The sequence below is a fragment of the Homo sapiens genome, chromosome 3 (genome assembly GCF_000001405.40).
Source record: "Homo sapiens chromosome 3, GRCh38.p14 Primary Assembly".
In the NCBI taxonomy this organism is placed as follows: Eukaryota; Metazoa; Chordata; class Mammalia; order Primates; family Hominidae; genus Homo; species Homo sapiens.
In genome coordinates this window covers 95,288,545-95,311,810 of record NC_000003.12, presented here as the reverse complement: position 1 = coordinate 95,311,810, position 23,266 = coordinate 95,288,545, and positions in this window count along the sequence as shown.

The following is a 23,266-nucleotide window of genomic DNA, read 5'->3' as shown; positions in this document are numbered from 1 at the left end:
TTCAGGTTATAGTGGAGGGAATATGCTCACTAAAGTTATTTCGTGCAGAAAAATGGCTAATTCAGGGAACAAGGTCTTATAGCATTATTAGAAGGGCTGAGAAAGTAGAACCCAGGGAATGGCTCGTAGATGCTAAGGTCAAGCTATTACATTTTCCTCTCGGAGGTCAAGAAGTAGTTAGGGACTACTGATGACAAAGCCATCCCACAGCCTCAGAGCAGCCACGGGGTAAAAGATGAAATCTGGTTATTGCAAACTCAAGTTAGCTAAACTTTACTCATTATCCATCACAGCTGCAAGAAGAAGAAAGCCTCTGCTTTTCTTTCACTTTCTAAGTCTCTTCTGAGTGCATCTCATTGGAAAGAACTTAACCACATTCAAAACACTAGTAAAACACTAGTGTGGCAAATGTATTTACCAGGGTTGCAGATCCCATCACTTAAGGAGAGCACAGAAAGTGTGAGATGTCCATAAAAATGGAAAAAAAAATCAAGGAGTAATAAGAGGGATGAATTCACTCCAGTTGTAAGGTATTATGAAAATCAACTCTGAGTGACATTAGTTTGTGCTAATTCTTAAGGGGTAAATAATAATTTATCAGATGAAGCTTTTGGAAAAGTGATTGAAAGCAGAAGAGAATGAATATTGAGATACAGAGTTATGAACGAGCATGATATAGTAAGTAGTGAAGTATGGTTGGGTGCAAGTTGCATGATAGGTATTGGAGAATCCTCAGCAAGGCTATGAAGGGCATATCATGAATTAAAAAGGGATTTTAACTTTATCTTCGTAGTGATGGAAGGTATTAGAGAGAGTTTCATGATCAGACGTGTACTTTACCAAGGATGAGTGGAAGGGGACAGAAACAAAGGAAGAGAAATCCACTTCTCCAGAAACACTTCCTTACGTGGCAGAAATTATGACAACTTTTCCACAGACACAAAGAAGAGCTTTGTGAATTAATTTGTTCAACTATTTTTTGTTTAGGATCTACTCTGTTTAGACACTGAGGACATAGAAAGAAACCAGACAGGTTTCTACTCTCAGGGAGCTGAATCTGAAAATTGGCTAGTCTGAAAGTAACCGAAACTAAAATATCATGATTTCATGGAGTTCATGGTTTTCAGATACTCTTAAAATTATAGAGCTTTTTACAGATAGTCATTTTCTGTGAAAAATCTCATAACATTCATTAAAAAGAGAACTATGATTTTCAAAATCATTAAAATGTTTATCCAATTAAAGAACTTTTAATGCAATATAGCCAAGAATATTAAATTATTCATATACTCCTCAAGTCCAGATGATTAATGTAACAAAAAATGCCAAGAAAAAGAGTGATCATTTTTCTGTTTTAACTTTCCTCCTCTGATCTTTCTCTTTCTTTACCTACCTCTCAGTCTCACAGGCATGTGCATGACTAGCTTCTCAAAGGGCTGGCAGCTCTGGGTGGTGTGCTGAATCTCTTAAGGAAATGTCCTAATTCAATAGCTGGTTGATGATACCCTACATCATCTGAGGTCCAATAAGTCTGTGCTCCAGAGAAACTTGTAAGATCAATTGAGGTATTTTCTGTGACTCTATTTCAATTTAATGTTTTTTCTCTGTCCAATCTCAAGAAACTTCCCATTAAATTTTCTATACACAAATCTCCCTCTTAAAGTCGTCTTCCAGGAAACCTAGCCAATGACTCAAAAACTTACAGACATGTATACAGATATACCCACTTATTAAACACACAATACAATATACACATGCACACACGTTTGTTTTTGATGGCATTTCTCCTATGAGCATTTTTACTTATGCAGAGGATGTGTTTGAGAGTTTCGGATACTACTCCTTACTATAGGAATATGGCATAAACTTCTTGGCATAACCTATGTCTTCATGACTGATTACCCTCAGACAGTGCATTGCCTGGAAAATAGTGAGCACACAATAAGGACTGATATTGAATGATGGGTCAAATTGAAGCATAATATTTCCCTTACACTTTTGCGGGTCTTGTGACAGAGGTGCCTACTTTACTCAGCCTGCCACTCTCACCTCCTCGTGGGAAGGATCATGTGAGTGAATGAGGCAGGAACTGGAGAGCACAAGTGCTGGAAACAGCCTCCACATAGGCACTGGAAGAATCAAACTCCACTCACTCGGACCTGCTGCACTTCACCCCTCGTGGGAGGGAGCATGCAGGTGAGTGGGTGCAGGTGCCCAAGCAAGTGCTTTTGGGTGCTGGCAGGAGCAACCTCCATGCAGGCCCTGCAGAAGCAGCTAGGTGGGGGTGGCTGCCACCCACAAAGCCCCAGCGGGTGTGTTACAGGGCTCTTTTAGCTCTGCCATCTGTGGACAGCTTAAATGTTAACAGCTCAGTGGGCATATTCCTTTTCAGCTACGGCAGCTGCCCTCTACCAGCAAGGGTAAAGGACCAGTGTGATAGCCTTTTGTATCTTTACTTGTGGCTCCTGAGATGTTATCTAGCACGCAGAAAAAAATGAGGTTGTATGAATGAATTAGAGGTGGGGAATGAGGGGGATTTTATTGCTGATGAAAGTGGCTCTCAACAAGATGGGGAGCTGAAAAGGGAACGGGGGATAGGTAATCTTCTCCTGATGTCTGGCCATCTCCAGCTGGATTCTTCTCCAAAGTTATGCCATCAAGCTGTCCCTCTGAGGTCAAGCTGCTTGTCTCCCACATACAGCCATTGTCTCTGACATCCAGCTACTTCTTCTCTCTGCTGGCTGAGTCTGGGATCTTTATAGACACAGGATGGAGAGAAACAGGGGGCACGGGTAGTTCAGGAAAAGGTAACACTCTAGCTGGGAAACAGGGAGAGAAGTTCTCACTTTGGGTTGTGGGTTTCGGGCTTTTTGCCTTGAAGGTAGAGTTTTGTCAGAGACCGCCCTTTTCTGCCTAGAATTTCTATGCCCCTGTCCCAATCAAAATGAAGGAATGAAACATAAATTAGCCATCATTTTTGTTCTTGGCCCTACTGTATATTTATATAAGAGAGATTTGGAGTATACTGTGCAGTCCTATATGGATCCATAAGACACAAGTGACTACACAGACTTAAATGTGTATTAATGAGTATTTTTTAAAGGCCCATAGTATCTAAAGTGATCTGCAAAATCAGTGTAATCCCTATCAAAATTCCAAAGGAATTTTTCACACACACACACACACAATCCTAAAATTTGTATGAAAATGCAAAACCCCCAAAGAGCCAAAGCAATCTTGAGAGAAAAAAATTCTGGAGGCATAACCCTCCATGATATCAAACTATATCACAAAGCTGTAGTAACATCAGAACAGTTTGCAGTTGTCATATAAACAGACACAGACCAATGGAACAGAACAGAAAGCCCAGAAATAAACCTACACATATATGGTCAATTAATCTTTGACCATGGTGCCAAAAATAAACAATGAATAAAGGAAAATCTCTTCAATAAATGCACTGGAAAAAAATGAACATCCACATGAAAATAAATAAAATTGGACCCTTGTCTTATCCCATACATAAAAATTGACTTAAAATAGATGAAAGACTAAAATGTAAGATCTCAAACTGTCAAACTCTTAGAAGAAAGCAAAAGGCTCTTTGACATTGGTCTTGGCAATGCTTTGTTTGGGTGTGACATCAAAGCACAGTTAACAAAATAAAAAATAAACAAATGGAATTATATCAAATTAAAAAGCTTCTGCACACCAAAGGAAACTGCAAAATGAAAAGGTAATCAATGCAATGAAATAAAATATTTTCAAACTACATATCTAATTAATCTGGGTTAATACACAAAATATATAGGTACTCGCACTACTCAATAGCAAAACAAACAAAAACAAAAAAAAAACACATACACATGTATAACCTTATTAAAAATGGGTAGAGGACCTGAATTGAATATTTTCAAAGAAGACATATAAGTGGCCAAACAGTATATGAAAAGGTCCTCATCATCACTAATTATCAGAGAAATACAAATCAAATGAGTTATCACCTCAGACCTGTTAGAATGACTATTATCAAAAAGGCAAGCGATAGCAAGTGTTAGTGACAGTGTGGAGAAAAGGAAACCCTTGTACACTGCTGATGGAAATCTAAATTGATGTAGCTATTATGGGAAAGAGTATGGAGATTCCTCAAAAAATTAAGAAATAGAGCTACCACATGATCCAGCAATCTCACTTCTGAGTATACAAAGGTAGAGAAATCAGTGTGTCTAAGAGTTATCTGCACCCTCGTGTTCATTGAAGCACCATTCACAGTAGCCAAGATATGGAAACAACCTAAGTGTTTATGGACAAATGAATGAGTAAATAAATGGTGGTTTATACAATGGAAATTATTCCACCATTAAAAAGAAGGAGATCCTGCATTTTTACAACACAGGTGAAGCTGTAGGACATTATGCTAAGTGAAATAAGCTAGACACAGAAAGACAAATATTGCATGATCTCATATGTGATATTTTAATAAGTTGAACTCAGAAGACAGAAGAAAGTGGTGGTTGCCAAGGGCTGGAGGATAGGGGTGGGGGAACTGAAGAGGTGTTAATCAAATGGTTCAAACTTTCAGTTTTAAGTTGAACAAGTTCTGGGATCTAATGTACAGCATATTTAATGATAGATGTGTTTTTTAATTTGATTATGATTGTGTAATGATTATGATAATCATTACACAATGTATATGTATCTTATCATAACATTGTAAACCTCAAATATTAAAATAAATAAGAGAGTTGTAAAATTTTTAATTGGTTGTATTTATTAAATTTAAAATTAAAGACATTATTTTTTCAGTCTCACTAGCCACATTTCAAATGAACAACAGCGACATGTGGTTAGAAGCTAATATACTGGGCAGCTCAGATTATAGAACATCCCCACAGTTGCAGAAAATTCTATTCAATGGCACTTGTTTAGAGGTCAAATCCTGAGAGAATGCTTGTTCCTTTTAGACATAATTTATCTTTAATGGAATGTTGCAACATTTGAGTGACTGCTGAGATGCTAGAATCTCAAAGAATAAGATGCTCAGCAGAAATATGGATGGTGATGGTGTTAGGAATTTGTTGAACATCTAAAATTATAGTCATTTTAGGAGAAATGCAATCTGTGAACAATCCTGTAAAGCAAACATACAAACAAACAATTGACCAAAATAAACAAGTAGGCATTTGTAAAAGAAATCTAAATTTTGCTATAAACAGTCTTTCTTAAAAGCACGTCTTCTTAAAAATTGAATAAATATGGACACAAAAACTACAAGCACCCAAGTTCTAATATGATACTTCAATTAAGTTGCAATTACTTGGTAGAAGAGCACAGCTGTTCCACGTTTTCATCTCTGGGCCCACTGTGAGAAAGAGTATTGAACTGGTGCAATGATCCAACTATAAATGAGGCCACAAGTACTTCAGTATCATGTGTTTTTAAAAGGTATCTGTGCCTGGATATACGAGATACAGACAAATATTCTACATCCCAGGGTAGTAGCTCATATACATGTATACATATACATACAAATGTATACATATATAAACACATGTGGAACTTGGTGTACAGGCACGGACACACTAACAGAGTACTCATTAGTAAAAATATCCAGTTACTGGTCTGCTTGTGAAAGTAAAGTTGTCAAAGCACAAAAATACTCACCAAAGGACTGATCACTCAACAGTTCTCTCTCAAACATCTCTCCCCATTTCAAACAAAGTTGCATCTCTGCCAATTAACTTTACACCCCAACATTCTTCATCATTCAGTGTTTCGTTTTCCCTCCATATCTTAAATATTTTCTTTGTTTTGAATTTGTTCATATAAGATAATACAATGCAAATTAATTTCAAAGTGAAATTGCAAATATTTGAAATTTTAGGACACTATGCTGGGCAGAGGTATCAAAACCTCTGCAAAGCTGTTTCCAAGTGAGGATTTATCAAAAATAACAATTCATTTAAAATTACACATTGATAAGGACTCATTAGCTAATTACACGTTCATTAATTAATTTGTTCAGTTAACACATGGTGAACCAATGCTCACTGTTTCCCAAATGTTCTAGTTTCTAATAATAAAGCTGGAATCAAAAAAGCAAAACTCCCTATCCTCAATGGTTTTGATCTCTCCTTGGGAAGAGGCCTGCTCTCTGCCCTTCAGCTGAGACAGACATCCCTCAGCATGACAAGTGCTTGAGGAAATAAATATAAGAGACTTGAAACGATAATCCTACAGGAAATGTCCTTTAAAAATTCATAAATTTATTAAATTTATTGCAAAATAATGTTATATTATTATGCTACAAAGGAAGAATGTGAATTTAAAAAATGACCCATATAGCTACCAAAATATATTGCCAAGAAACTTTGGAAAATAAAATGGCAAAGAGTAAAACAAGTGATTTCATTATGAAGTTGTTTTACATGTTAAAGTACAGTTCAATTTTGATTTGAGTTTTGATAAAGTTATAAATATGCTTTTTAAAATTTAATATTTTCATGATAGCATTAAAAATAGCTTATAGTTGTATTTATGACCTATATTAGTCAATTAAAGATAAAAGTTAATTTCTTCCCATGTTAAATTTTCACTACCAATTTGTTTTCATTTTGAAGACAAACATCTCAAAAATCTGTTTTTTGGAGTGTTATGCACACAAAGTATCACAATAAAAATTTCACCTCTTATATAAACAAAACGTGTATTGTTATGGACAAATTTCTCCATCACTCTTGTCCTTAAACCTTATAGAGCCTTAAAATATACATATGATTTATTTGTCTATGTCTACTTTTCTCATCCATAAATAAAAGACATGTCTATGCCAAACATTATTTAAAATTCCAAGTTCCTCTTCTCTTTCACTAGTGCTTATTATCCAAAATCAGCAAGAATTTTAATCTTATGTGATTTCCTTTATTTCTGTTCTTTGCCAATTTCCATTTGCAAAACATAAATTGATAAAAATATGTTAGCTGCATGAATGATAAATACTTGGATGGTAGATGAATGATCATATAGGCATACATATATCCATATATGTATATTTATAAACAGCTATGTGTATATATGTATATGTATGAATAACTATTTGTGTATATGTGTGTGTGAAGACAGAAATAGAGGGTATAAAAATGTAGACATTTTTCTCTCTTTAATTTCAGCTTGATGCCAGTTATCAGTAATCTTTTTTGTTGAATCAAAGCATGAGTTTGAAAAAAATTATACTCCTCTATTTTCTCCTGTATTGAGCATAGTTTAACATAGGTTAGCATAGTAAAATAGTCCAAAGTAAAGTGAGAAATGGAAGAGAAAAAATGAAAGGACAAAAAGAATTGCAAATTAAAGTTGTTCCATTTTGTGATACATTTTCAGGTTATTTTTCATGTTTGCCACTAATTTTGTAATCTTTCTCATGATTTTATAAAGACTAAAGTCGACACCCAATGGAAGAGTACAAGGTATTTCTTTCAGTCTAGTGATATATTATTTTTGTTTTGCTGTTTTCTACCATCCTGTTTCACACTTCTCTTCTGGGGAGGGAAAGACATCTCTAATTTCCTCTCTAGAGATACTATTAATCTTAAAAGCACAACTGTTGTATTTATTACATGACTCAAGAAGGATCAGAAGGTTTTATCATCGGTAGTAAGAATTATGATTTTGTTTTTTCTTGACAGAGTCTTGCTCTGTTGCCCAGGCTGGAGTGCAGTGGCACGGTGTCTGCTCACTGCAACCTCTGCCTCCCCAGCTCAAGCAATTCTCCTGCCTCAGCCTCCCGAGTAGCTGGGATTACAGGCGTGTGCCACCATGCCTGGCTAATTTTTGTATTTTTAGTAGAGTCAGGGTTTCACCATGTTGGCAGAATTATGATTTTTTAGAAGAAAACATGACAAATTGATATTGAAACTGCAAATAATTAAGTAAGTTGGGAAAGCATGTATGAAGATCTTAATAAAAGAGGAAAGTTAAACCAAAAATCCTAGATAAAGAGAAAAAGAATGGAGAAATGATGGTGTTGCTATGTTAAGAGCAAGGAAAAACCATTGAATGTATTTCTGAGTAAAGTAACATTTTCAGCTTTAGGTTTGAACTTTGTGGAAATAGTTGGTATGCATCTTTAGTTTCTTATAATTCTAATTTGACAAAGTCTGACACATTTAGCTGAGTGACAGTTCATTTTCTTGTCTCTGTGTTGGTGAGAGTACCGATGATTTCTATAACATTGATCCTTCTTAGCACTGCGATCAAATTCCTTTCTCATGTGCTCATTTTGATTTACCAAGTTTTAATGAGAATCATAAGTTTTACTTTACTTAACCAACAATATGCACGTGATGGTAGCTGGAGAAATCAGAAATTGTTATTGAACTTAGTCAACTCACAAATCAAGATATAAAGTTAGAGTCCTTCTCTTCAATAAATATTGATTGTGTTGGTAAGATATTTTAGGTGCTACATTAAATCCTAGAGAAACAGATATAAAGGAAAGAGTGCATGCCTACAAGGAAATTACAGATTAATGATCGAGAAAGGCAAAAAATAAGAAATGTAATAAAACAATAGAAGAAGATCAATGCAGGGGCTAAAGGGGACTATGAGACAGACATAAAACACAGGTTATTGGTTAGTAAAAGCTTCCTAGAGGAAGTAGTTATTGAAGTCAACTTATACAGCTAACTAGGAATTATCTAAATGAAGAAGAAAGAAAATGGAGACATTAAAGTAAGAATGTTCATAAGAAAAAGATGTGACATATATTGAGAAGAGCAGGTAATTCCATATTAATAGATTATGAATGAAAAGAAGGACAAGATTCTTTTGTTGAGTAATTAGGACAAGCGATCTAACCAGAGAAGGCAAGCAATAGAATATGCCATTATTTTTTATTGTGGACCTTATCATAGGGCTGATGAGTATGAGAGCAACTGCTCTATTAGAAGAATGACTGGAAACTGCATAATTAAATTAATTAATTTTTACTTTCATGGTAATAGTCTGCTTTTCTTTATATGCAAACTATATCAATTCATCCATTTATAGACTTATTACAGCATTTTTTCAATAATTTTAAAATTGCATACTCCATGAAAAGGTCAGAATGGTAGCTGATAAGAACATTAGCTGTGTTTTTGTTATATACATACAATTCATTTCGTCTCTTATGTAGTTCAACACTGCTGTAAGCTCTAAGAATGTAAAACAGTACATTTTAACATAATTGAAGTTGAAATATATTCATAGAACTATTATATTTACGGCCAGTTTAAAATAAAATGATTATTAAAAACTTGTTAACAAAACGATGAGTAGAAACTAGCTTGATTTTTTTTCTGCAAAATAATGAAAAAGAAACCACCCACAGCAAACAATTCGTAACATATACATAAATAGAAATTTCTTCCAGCCAGATGGATTTCCCTTAGAAATCATGATACTTCCAGTTAATGTTATGGAAACAAGTTTTAAGTAAGTTTCTTTATGCTTTTGAATGCAAAAACTATTTTCCCATGATCTCACTGCTTTGGCTTTTGATGACCAATGCCCAAACCATTTTCTCCTCCACTATAGTAGCAGAATATTGACTTTCCAAGCTTCTCTACTTGATAAGGGCAGACCTCATTGCACAATTCTGAATAAACAGGTATGATAAGCAGAAACTTTCTTTTTACATGACATTTCTTCCTAGTTAAAAAAAAAATGAAAATCCTAATTGATCCCATACCTCTTCTTCTTCTTCTTCCTGGCTTCAACCTGAACATGATACAGCAACAGGTAGAAGGACAAAACTCTGATGAGTATGTATTTGATGTTATAAGAAACTGCAAAACTCTTTCCCAAAGAGATTGTATGAATCTGTATTCCCACTAGCAATGTGTGAAGGTTCCGGTGCTCACCATTCTTAAAAGCACTCGATGTTCTTACTGTTTTAAACATTTTCAATTTTTGCTATTCTGTTGGGTATTTGGTAGTAACTCATGGTTGTTTTAGCTTGTAATTTCCTAACAACTAATAATTTAGAGCATCTTTTCATGTACTAATTGGCTATTTGTCTTTCGTTTTTGTCCACTTTTTAATTAGGTTGTTCAATTTATTATTGAGCTACAAATATGTACTGTTTCGCAACAATTTATTACTGCATTGGTTTCTTTTCTATCACTTCACAAAATAAAAGTCAAGTCAATTTGTAATAATATATTATTATATTGAGCTATAAATATTTATTATTTTGCAGTGAACATTCTGATGAAAGTCTTTTTGTGAACACATATTTTTATTTCTCTTAGATAAATACATAGTTGGAATTGCTGGATCATAGAGTAGTTTCACGTTTAAATTTATATTAAAAAGAAACTGAACGATATTCCATAGTAGTGTCTAACAGAATTCTCCTTGAGTTTCTCATATTTATGTATTTCTTACCAGCAAAAACACTGACAGCCATTGTTTCAAACTCTCTTATTTGTACATATGTATGGTGAACAGTTCTGGAAGATAGATTCCCCTTCAGATTTGTTTACTATCCAATGTAAAAATCATGTCTTCCTCAGGGCCAGAGGTCAAACAGGCCCAGGGCCTGTTATACAAGCATGTAGTTCCTTAAGCCTGTGATCCCTTAACTGAGATGCAACTCACTGGGCCCATCTATATGGACTGCTCTGTGTTGCTTTCATAGGACTTAGGGGCAGGGGAAACTGATACAAACATAAAGCTTATGTTCCCTGCTATGCCATGAGTAATAATCTTATTTATATTTTAACCAGGAGTCTTATGTTTTCTGCTAGTATCCAGGAAACAGTAAGAGGATAAAATATAACTTGCACATTATGGTAAAATCTCAGACTATTCAGTTTATGACAAGTGACCATACTACCTTACACTTCCTCCAACAATGTTTAACAGTATTGATTACTCCATATTCCTCCCCAAATCTGATGTTTAACTTAGCTCTTGACAATATTTAGGCTAGATAAAAAAATTTAAATTGATATTATTTTTTCATTAAGACCTTAAAAACTTTGCTCTCTTTTCTTCTAATTCCCATGGTTTTGACAAGAAAATCAGTCATTTTATCATTCTCCTGTATGCAAGTCACCTTTGATATTTATTTATTAATAGTTTAAAATAAGCCTTAAACAAGTTAAATTTAACAGAGGTTAATTGAGTAGGGGAAAAAGACAGGTTCATAGACCAAGTAGTACTCAGTATCAAAAATGATACAGAGAGCTCCTTCCCCTAAGTGTGCAGGCTATGTTTATAGCCACAGAAATAGTAATGATATTCAGAAATAATCTTATTGGTTGCTGTTTAGTGTTTGTCTTATTTGGACATCTTTTGACAGACTTCAGTAATTGGCTTGAGGTTCACTTGTTATAATTGGCTGGGCCTTGGCTACTTGTTTCACGAGTATACTCTTAGGTAAGATTACAAGTTGTTTACACATTAAGTTAGGTTACAGTTCACTATGTATGGAGGTGTATGGAGGCAGCTTTAGGTCAAATTTAATTCAAGTTAACAATAATTTCCAGCAACTAAATTATCAGGTGTCATACAATTTTATACATTTTTCCTGCTTGGGTTTTTTAAAGATTCCTTACATTTTTATCAAAATTGAAAAAAAAATTGTACATATTTTTAAAATATGTTTCAAACTCAAACTTTCTTGAACTTGAATTTCGTGTAGGATGACTATTTTTATTGCCCCACAGGTCACTGAATCTCCATTTTTCCTCTGCAGGTTTTTTCTCTTTGTGTGTCTGTTTAGTTAGTTCCTGTTCCATGTCTTCATGTTCAATAATCTATGTTTTTGTACTAGGTTTAATCTGTTGTAAAAGTTATTCAATAACTTTTGAACTTCAGATTCTGCTTAATGTTTTTTCTTGATTCTATTAAATATTTTTTGTTCATCTTCACAGACTGTGGTTTAAGTACTTGAATGTGTTGACAATATTTATAATAGGTGCATTAGTCCATTTCACACTGCTGAAAAGAAATACCTGAGACTGAGTAATTTTTAAGGAAAAGATGTTTAATTGGCTCATGGTTCCACAGGCTGTCCAAGAGGCATAGCAGTATCAGCTTCTGGGGAGGAATCAGGGAACTTACAATCATGGCAAAGAGCAAAGCAGAAGCAGGCGATTTCACATGATGGGAGCTGGAGGAAGAGGGAGAGGGGTGAATTGCTACACACCTTTAAATAACCAGATCTTATGAGAACTCTATCAGGAGAACAGCACCAAAGGGATGTTGCTAAACATTTATGAAGGACCCATTCCCATAATTCAATCACCTCCCACCAGGCTTTACCTTCAACACTTAGGATTACAATTTGATATGAGATATGTGTAGAGACAGAGATTTAAATCATATCAATAGATGTTAAAACTTTGTCTGCAATCCATCATCTCTAACATTTCTGAGTCTGTTCCTAATGAATGATTTTTCTCGATTGTCAGTCACATATTCCAATTTCTGCACAACTTTATTGGTTTTTAAAGCTACAAACAGTGTAAATATTACATTATTAAGTGTAAGTGGATTTTATTTTACCGTGTCTTTGTTTACAGATTGTTAATATTTGTCTTATCAAGCATTTTAGTTATTTACAAATTAATTTCATCTTGTTAAAGCTTATCCGTAAGCTTTGGTACTATGTGTCTAACATTATTTTAGGCTTTTATTCTAGGATTGTGTTAACCCTACTCTTGAAATATGCCCTTACTGATTTCTGAAATCTCAGGTGTTCAGTGAGGACTTTTCCACTTCTGTGTGAGCTCTGGGAAATGTTCATCTTATAGTTTCCCTGACACTATTTCTCTGCACTCATGTTATTTCACTCTATGCATGGAATCCCTTTGTATTTCATCAACAGATTCGAAGATACTCTTATGCAGATTTCTGGAGCTCTTTTTCTATGTAGTTCCCTCTTCTGTACTCTTCTACTGCTGTCCACAATGTCTAGCCACTAGCCTTCCTAAATTCTCATCTCTGGCTCATCAACTTAGCAAGATTACTGTGTATTGAGTGGGTTTCCTAATTGCGTTATCATCTGGGAAACTACCTAAGACATGAGCTGGGGAGTTGCAGAACCCTCATAATTTGTTTTCTTTCCCTTAGAATAGTAGTCCTCTGTTGTCTGTGGTTCAATGTTTGACAATAATTTGTTTTATATTTTGTCCAATTTTCTAGTAGCTTATGACAGGGGGCAATTCTAGTACTAGGTATTCAAGAGAAACAAAGGTCTCTGATACTTGCATTTGAAGTAGAAATAAAAATTACAAATGAAAAAACAACAGCAGCCACATACACACACAAAGCTTTAATCTAGACAGTTTAAAATATTGACCCTTTTTCACAACAAAATAAAAAATAACTCTAAAATCCAAATGTTACACATTTCTGTCATTGTTTGTATATGAACTTATGATTTGAAAAAATTGATTTATGATATTTTTTAAATTTTAATGTGAAGTCGTAGAATGTAGGTTAATATTCATTGAATGGATGCATAGTAATTAACAAATGAATACATGAATGAGTAATATATGGCTAGTAGAATATAAGAATATAATCCATGTGGCTGTTAAAAATAACTTTGGAATACACAAAAATAGTAATTTACACTCTTTCCCTCACAATCCCAGGAAACAATTAACTATTGAATTTCTTAGGCTATGTTACGTAATATTGTTTTAGTCAAAAACATTGTTTCATAATTAAGTATAAATTAAGTTAACTGAGGTATATTACTTAAATTATTCAAATGAGTACATTGCTTGGACATAGAAATAGGCAGTGCACTTACACTAATCATATCTAATAGAACCTCACACCTTCCACATATAAAAGACAGTTGGAGTGACAGCTGTGATAGTTGTGAGATGAGAAATACAAAACTAAGGACAAGGTAAAATCTTCTCAAGTGTATGGACCTACTCAGAATAGATAAGGTACTATTTCCCATTTGTATTGTCCTATTGAAATGTGGTAATCTTTTATAACTAATCCATGAACAATTCTGACTCATATTACCACAAGTTAATCTTCAATGGACACTGGAAAACACTCACATGAAAATGTCATACACCTCGACAAAACAATTTTCAAGCTGCATAGATGATCCTTCCTACAATGTTAAAGGGGAAAGCTGAAAGAAAGAAAAAAAAAACTTATTTTTCAATCTAAGTCTTGCTTCTTTATTTTAAAAAAGCACTTCACTTTCTTTCTTAGCACATTCTTGTTTTTAAATAATTACATTCTAAAAATATTCAAAAACACACATTTTTTATTTCCTGGAAACTTTCGAAACATGGTGCTTTTGATACTTGTTATAGTTCTTTGTCTTTATGGAGATTTATGAAAACCTGAATACCCAGAATAGTTATTCAGAATTCTTATCACAAAAGAGATGCTTCCATGAGGTTTCAAAGCATTTTTCCCTGAAATGAATTTGGTGTGACCATCATTTTATCTAGTCTCTTCATAAAACAATCTGCAAATACAAACCTCCTTGTGGGTAATAATACAGCCATATTTGCAAAGGCTGTAATCACAAAATTTAATATAAATAAGAAATGCAACTAAATGATGCTCCAACCATACTCTACTGCCCCACTGTATATCACAATCACTCCATAAATGCAGATATTTTTCCATTTCTTTCATAAGGGATTTCTCATAGTGAAACAATTTTCTAGATACCCTTCCTCTTGGCAGCTTTCTTTAATATAAACGTTACTTCGAGTGTAACTATACCTTAAATCTTGACATCATAGATGCCATTAGAAACCAGGAACCAAATATTTCTGTATCCTGGGAGTCATAAAACTGAAAGGATATTTCTGGTATGTAACTTGTTTTTACCTTTCTCTTAAGTACTATATTTTCTCCATAATTAACCCAGCAAGACTCAGAGCTCAGTGGCATATTTAAACATTAGTTTATTAGTGCTTCGTTGGCTAGTAACAGCAAATTACATGACATTTCTAAAGGGAGATGAAGAAAGAAATATAATCTAAGCTCCTGGGTTTATAGGGCATCTATCAAAGTCATTTTTCTGTTTTATTCTTTCCCTAAATCTCAGAGTTACAGGTATTTTTATATCACAAATAACTTAAACTTAACTTTTATATCTTGGTGTTTCAGGCAAGTTTTCATAAGCAGCACTTATTTTCTTGCTAGATTTTATTTTTTAAATTAAGATCTCTAAAGTACCTGAAACTCTTAGTGGACTGCCTTTACTTCACCATTCTTCAAACGAGATGTGACAAATAGATTTCCTGAATCCATTTATGGCTTTCTTTCCTGTAAAACATTAAAAATCAGTCAAATATATTCAGAAAGCACTACTTAAAACAAAAATCCAAACAAGAAAAAAAACTGATATCGTTGGTTGACTGGGCCAATGAATATCTCAAAGAAGGTATTAATTACCTTATCTGATTAAACATACACAATGTTTTCTTTTTTTGTCAGATGTATCTATTAACTTACTCATATTTTTGGACGTATGTATAATTATTTTTTAGGATAGTTTCAAGTCGCTTCTGAATTCAGAATGTTTCTCCCAAAATAGTTACTTTTCTTGGATTTCTCAATAACAAGGATAACATGTAAGTCTTTAAATATTTTAAATTTTTTAATCATTCAAAATGTCTTTCACAACACTGCACATAAAATATTTCCTTTCATCATTTTAACCTTTTATTTGTAACTCACTATTACATAGCTGTTTCTTTAAATGTGTTATAACTTTTTACCACCCACAGGCTAAAGATCAGCCATGTACCATGACATAGGTAGCTCTTCATAATTTTGATACCTTCTCAATCACCAGATCCAAATCCTGTTATGTCTTCCAAACCTGATTCAGAATTCTTCAGCCATATAATATTGTCACATCTTTTGTGTTTGTGAGTACATGCCTTCAAATGCATGTAATCCCTTCTGTCCTTTCAACTACTGGTATTTGTCAGTTGTGCCATCCTACTCACCTGTATTAGTTTGCTAGGGTGACCTTGACAAAATACCACAGATTGAATGGTTTAAACAACAGAAATTATCTTCTCACAGTGCTGGAAACTGGAATTTCAAGATCAAGGTTTCGACAGGTTAGTTTTCTCCTGAGGCCTCTGCCTTTGGCTTGCAGACGGCTGCCTTGTCGCTATGTCCTCGTGTGGCTTTTTTTTCGAGTGCATGTATACCTGATGTATTTTTTGTGTGTCTTAATTTCCTCTTCTAATAAAGACATCAACCATACTAGATTAGGGTCAACCTTTCTGACCTCATTTAACTTTAACTACCCCATTAAACTGCCTATCTCCAAGTAGGGTCACATTTTGGGTTGCTGAGGGTAAGGGCCTCAACATATATATTTTGGAATGATACAATTCTGGGCATGACACCATCCCATTGTAATATACATTTTGATTTTTCTAAATTAGAAATTGCATTATTCCAGAAAACCACTATGTTCCAAAGACATTAGTCACCCCCACAAAAAACGCAATACATGTATTTTTCTAAATGATATTTTGTTATTAAAAGAATCAAACAGATCCTATTAGAATACTTTTAAAATAATTATCTAATAAAAATAAATCAAATATATTTGAAAAGTAATTTGAATTCCTAAATTATTTTGTTAGTGAACGGACTAAAGTAAGCAAAGCAAATCTTTCTTTACCTGCCAGATAAAGTGAAGAGATGAGAAGTATGACAATCCATCAGAACATACACAGGTCATTTTGAGTAGACTCTAGCAAGCTTTTTGAGAACATCTAGAATATGACAACACATGCCTAGAACTCTGAAAAAAATACTTTGGTCTTCAACTATAAAGGTCTTGAAAATGATCCCAGTGGGCCAGGGTCTCAGCTTTGGTCTTTACTCTTTTAAAAATATTTCTTTCCAACTGTAAATTCTCTAATAATCAATTTATTATAGCACCGTATTCTGAGTTCAAATAAATAAATGCTTAATTCAATAACTGGGTTCATGATATCCTAACTTTTATTGTTATATGTGCATTACTTGCTTTCAAAAACTCACTGACACTAGAATCTAATTATGACTTTAATTATTCTCTAACATTGCTAGAATGCCTATGATTAGGATAAATCTTTCACCAGTACTTTGCAAGAACACCATAGGAATATCTGAATTGAATCAATTCATGGAGTAACAATAAAAAATAAGCAAAAATAATGTTTCTTAATTGCTAATAGTTTTAGGTATAGTCAGGCAGCTGTTTTAGTTACAGTTTTAGTTGTTTGGTTATAGTCAGACATTTCTGTGTTACCAACTTCTACATTGTAGATTCATTAATAACTACAGAAAAATATCCATCTCTGTTAATAATAGATGTATTCCTTCTTCTCTAAAGGATTAGATGAAACTGGGACCAGGCATGGAGGCTCATGCCTGTAATCCCAGCACTTTGGGAGGCCAAGACAGGTGAATCACTTGAGGCCAGGAGCTCAAGACCATCCTGGCCAACATGGTGAAACCCCGTCTCCACTAAAAACACAAGAAATTAGCTGGGTGTGGTGGTGCACGCCTGTAATCCTAGCTATTCAGGAGGCTGAGGCATGAGAAGCTCTTGAACCTGGGAGGCAGAGGTTGCAGTGACCCGAGATTGTCACTGCACTCCAGCATGGGTGACAGAGTAAGACTGTCTCAAAAGTAAAAGAAAAAAATAATTAGATGAAGCTATCTTGTAGGAAAGAAAAGATAAGACTTTACAGAGACTTTTACAGAGAGGTCTTTATTAAAAGGGTTACCTAGTGAAGGTATTAGTGATCTCAAGTTTCTCACTGGTGTGCATATTTATCTAGAATAACCACCTCACATTCTCATGGTAGAGTTCAAAGTGTTGGGCTAATTGAGAAGAAATACAAAAAAAAAAAAAAAAAAGAAAAAAAGTTCTCACTCACTGACATTTTCCTGAAGAATTCTTGAGCATTAGATAGGTGGAAAATGTATCAAATACATCAGCAAAACTATATAAATGCTACAATTACTCTCTTTTTTTCTTTCGAAAGTTGGCTAAGGCCAACTATCTCAAGGGAATGAAGAGGAGCTCTTCAGTCTTAACTACACATGTAAGGTACCTTCCTTCATTCACACTCGAATCTATCACTGCTTAATTCTTCAGACACCTTTTTGCTCAAACATCACCTTATTTTCCTCTGATTACTACCTAGATATTCAATCCAATCCTTCCCCTTATACTAAGTACAAACAATGTTTTTCCTTCATATCCATTCCTACGCACATTGCTCAATACATCCCTGATAACACTTGTAGCCAATGGTTCACTGACTTAAGCTATCATTTGTCCCATTCATCAAACTGAAGCTGTTCAAATCCCAGGACCTCTAGGGGATGTTCATTTAAGTATGGTAACCATTTACTACTGCTAGTACTATGATGAATTGAAAGTGATGAAAAAACTCTACTATAGGGTGTTTTTATATTTAATTTTTTCAGACTCATTTTTGAACCCACAGAACATGTAAAATTTCTTTGTCAACATCTGAATTTTTAATGAGTAACATCTATCCTTTTTAATTGACATAGAACTCTGTTGGTTATACCCATGTATTTTTAAATAGCCATGATTAAATATAATTAATTAGATAATCTTCTCTTATGGAATATCTTGGATAAGTTCATTTTTATTGATCAACTTTCAACTCAATACATTTCTTTCTAAAGTTATACTCTTTATGCTTATCATCATCAGTAATCAGCTGTATTAGTCCATCTTCATGCTGCTCATAAATATATATACAAGACTGGGTAAAATTTATAAAGGAAAGAAGTTTAACTACTTCACAGTTCAGCATGACTGGGAGGTCTCAGGAAAAGTACTCTCATGGTGGAAGGGGAAGCAAACACATACTTCTTCACATGGTGGCAGCAAGGAGAAGTGCTTAGAAAAGGGGGGAAAGCCCCTTATAAAACCATCAGATCTTGTCAGAACTCACTCACTATCACAAGAACAGCAGCATGGGAGTAACTGCTCCTATGATTCAATGACCTTCACCAGGTCCCTCCTACCACACGTGGGAATTATGGGAACTACAATTCAAGATGATATTTAGATGGGGACACAACCAAACCTTATCATTCTGCCCCAGGCCCCATCCCAAATCTCATGTCCTCACATTTCAAAACACAATCATGCCTTCCCAACAGTCCCCCAGAATCCTAACTCATTCCAGCATTAATCCAAAAGTCCAAGTCCAAGGTCTCATCTGAGACAAGGCAAGTCCCTTCTGCCTATGAGCCTGCAAAATCAAAAGCAAATTAGTTACTTACTAAATACAATGGGAGTATAAGCATTAAGTAAATACACCCATTCCAAATTGGAGAAATTGGCCACAATGAAGGGGCTACAGGCCCAATGCAAATCTGAAATCTAATGGGGCAGTTATTAAAGTTCCAATATGATCTCCTTTGACTGCATGTCTCATATCCAGGCCTTGCTGATGCAAGAGGTAGGTTCCCATGGCCTCTGGCAGCTCTGCCCCTGTGGCTTTCCAGGGTACAGCACCCCTCCTGGCTGTTTTCACAGGCTGTCATTGAGTGCCTGTGGCTTTTCCAGGTGCAGGGTACAAGCTGTTGGTGTATGTACTATTCTGGGATCTGGAGGATAGTGGCTCTCTTCTCACAACTTCACTAGACAGTTCCCCAGTGGGGACTCTGTGTGGGGACTCCAACCACACATTTCCCCTTCACACTGCCCTAGCAGAAGTTCTCCATGAGCCCTCTGCCCCTGCAACAGACTTCTGCCTGGGCATCTAGGCATTTCTGTATATCCTTTGAAAACTTGGTGGGGGTTCCTAAACCTCAGTTCTTGACTGCTGCACATCCACTGGCCCAATACCATGTGAAAGCTGCCAAGGCTTGGAGCTTGCACCCATTGGAGCAACAGCCTGAGTTGTACATTGGCTCCTTTTAGCCATGGCTGCAGCTGAAGCAGCTAGGACACAAGGCACCATGTCATGAGGCTGCATAGAGCTGGGGGACCCTGGGCCTGGCCCACAAAACCATTTTTTCCTACTAGGCCTCCAAGTCTGTGATTGATGGGGCTGTCGTGAGGGTGTCTTACATGCCTTGAAGGCTTTTTCCCTATTGTCTTGTTGATTAACATTTGGCTCCTTGTGACTTATGCAAATTTCTGCAGTCAGCTTGAATTTATCCCCAGAAAATGGGATTTTGTTTTCTATTATATAATCAGGCTTCAAATTTTCCAAACTTTAATGCTCTGCTTCCTCTTGAATGCTTTGCTGCTTAGAAATTTCTTCTACCAGATACACTAAATCATCTTCCTCAAGTTCTAAGTTCCTCAAGCTCTATGGCAGAGGCAAAATGCCACCAATCTCTTTGCATAGCAAGAATGACTTTTACTCCAGTTCCCAACAAGTTACTCCTGTCCATCTGAGACCACCTCAGCCTGGACTTTAATGTCCATATCATTATCAGCATTTCAGTCAAAAAGCCATTCAACAAGTCTCTAGGAAGTTCCAAACTTTTCCACATCTTCCTGTCTTCTGAACCCTCCAAGTCTATAGGAAGTTCCAAACATTACCACATTTTCTTGTCTTCTTCTGAGCCTCCAGATGGTTTCAACCTCTGCCTGTTACCCAGTTCCAAAGTTGCTTCCACATTTTCAGGTATCTTTATGGCAGTGCTCCACTACTTGGTACCAATTTACTGTATTAGTTCATTCTCATGCTGCTAATAAAGACATACCCAAGACTGGGTAATTTATAAAGGAAAGAGGTTTAACGGACTCACAGTTTAGTGTGGCAGGGAACGCTTCTGGAAACATAATATCATGGCAGAAGGAAAAACAAACATGTCCTTCACATGGCAGCAGAAAGAAGAAGTGCTGACCAAAAGGGGGTAATATGGTTTGGCTGTGTCCTCACCCAAATCTCATCTTGAATTGTAGATCCCATAATTTCCATGTGTTGTGGGATGAACCCAGCAGGAGATAATTGAATCATAAGTGTGGGCAATTTCCCCCATACTGTTCTCATGGTAGAGAATAAGTCTCACAAGATCTGATGGCTTTATAAGGGGAAACCCTTTTCACTTGGTTCTCATTCCCTCTTGCCTGCCACCATATAAGATGTGCCTTTCGCCTTCCACCATGATTGTGAGGCCTCCCCAGCCATGTGGAACTGTGAGTCCATTAAGCCTCTTCTCTTTTATAAATTACAAATTCTTTATTAATTGCCCCTCTGATTCAATCACCTCCCACTGGGTCCCTCCCAGGACATGTGGGGATTATGGGAACTACAATTCAAGATGAGATTGTGGTGGGGTCACAGCCAAACCATATCATCAGCCCATGCTAATAATATTTTTTTATTCTTTACTTTATTCAGTTTTACCACCTCTTCAACCAAAATATTTAGTGGGGTAGGTTGCAGTGATGCTTGCTGGCATTGTAGTAAATATGAGTTATATTGCTAACATTTCATTATCAACCTATTCTCTAATATATCCCTAGAGCAGAGGAATTATTTATCTTCACCAGATTCCTTTCTTAACAACATTTGTAACATGGTTTTGCAAAGATATATAAAAATGTTTTTTTCTCTATGGTATCTCCTACATACCTGATGCAACTAGTAGTAACTTAGCAGTAATACAAAGAAAGGAGAACATGGTTTGAATAATTACTTTTTATTAAAATTAATATCATATAGATCTGATTATACAGTAAAATTAAATTCTATTTATTTTTTTTAGTTTTTTCTATCATTGGCTATTTTATTAATTTTTATTTTAGATTTTTTATTTGAAATTGAGACAAATATGCCATTTTGTTGATAATAAAAACAAATTGTTCATTGCCTGAATAGTTTAATGTAAATTTGAACATTATTTAGGAATTTAAAATCTCCTTATATATTTTAGAATGGAGAGTTTCCACTAACAAGAGGCATAGGGGTATGACAGTTGGAAAGACTAAAATTTAGTATAGATAATTCTATGTGCCTTAATATAGTTTCTTTAAAAACAAAGGATTTGGGAGACTATTTTAAACTTTAACATAATTAAAACTGTTAATTTGTATTCTTGTGTCTTAACAACTAGAAAATCTGTAGGTGTGTTCATTCCTACCCACAACACATCACGAAAAACAAAACCTATGTGAGGTTAAAAATGAATTCTAACAAATCAACACTGAATTCCCACTGCTGAAAATGTCAACTATGTAATAATAAAACAAACAGCAAAAAAAGCTACATTTATTAAAAATGAGTTACTTAGAAAATTTTTCACATGCCTTGCTGTTTCGTCACCAGTGAATCATTCTTGTTCACTATTTCTAGAGTGAATACAAGAAAAGATTGAGATAAAAAGATGCCTATCTTTGAAAAAATTGTATTTTTCTCTTTCTAAAAATAAAAACATCATTTCAAATGTAGATTTTTAAAGTAAACATGGAAATTAAACTAGAATATAAGGCTAATTAGTCTCTTAGAAAATACATCTTATAGTTGTCAACATAAGACAATTTTGTGAATTTTTTTTAAACATAGTGACTATGATGGAAGCAATTTCAAAATATCTTGAATCTGGATAAAATAGTTTGCTTTTGAAAATACTTTCAAATACATACACTTGTGTAGTTGTTATAATAACTGTATGAATGACTGAACAACTTCTTTCTCAAAACCATATTTAAACTTAGAACAGAACACAATCCTGGTGTCAATCCTATGTTCACATAACTCTTTTTGTCAGACAACTAAGCCAAAAATCTCTGACTAAAAGAAAATGAAGGCTGGGTGCAGTGGCTCACACCTGTAATCCCAGCACTTTGGGAGGTCCAGGTGGACAGATCATGAGGTCAGGAGATTGAGACCATCCTGGCTAACATGGTGAAACCCTGTCTCTACTAAAAATACAAAAATTAGCCAGGCGTGGTGGCGGGTGCCTGTAGTCCCAGCTACTCAGGAGGCTGAGGCAGGAGAATGGCCTGAACCCGGGAGGCGGAGCTTGCAGTGAGCCGAGATCATGCCACTGCACTCCAGCCTGGGTGACAGAGCAAGACTCCATCTTGAAAAAAAAAAAAAATGAAGACAGGATTACCAATTCACAGCTAAAAATTAAGAAGTTTTGGGGGAAGTAGTGATATTGGTGGATTTCTCCAGCTATTAACTCTCCCACTTAGTTATTTCAAGGATTACTTCAAGCTTATGCACAGACAGAAATAAAAATGTTAACAATTGAT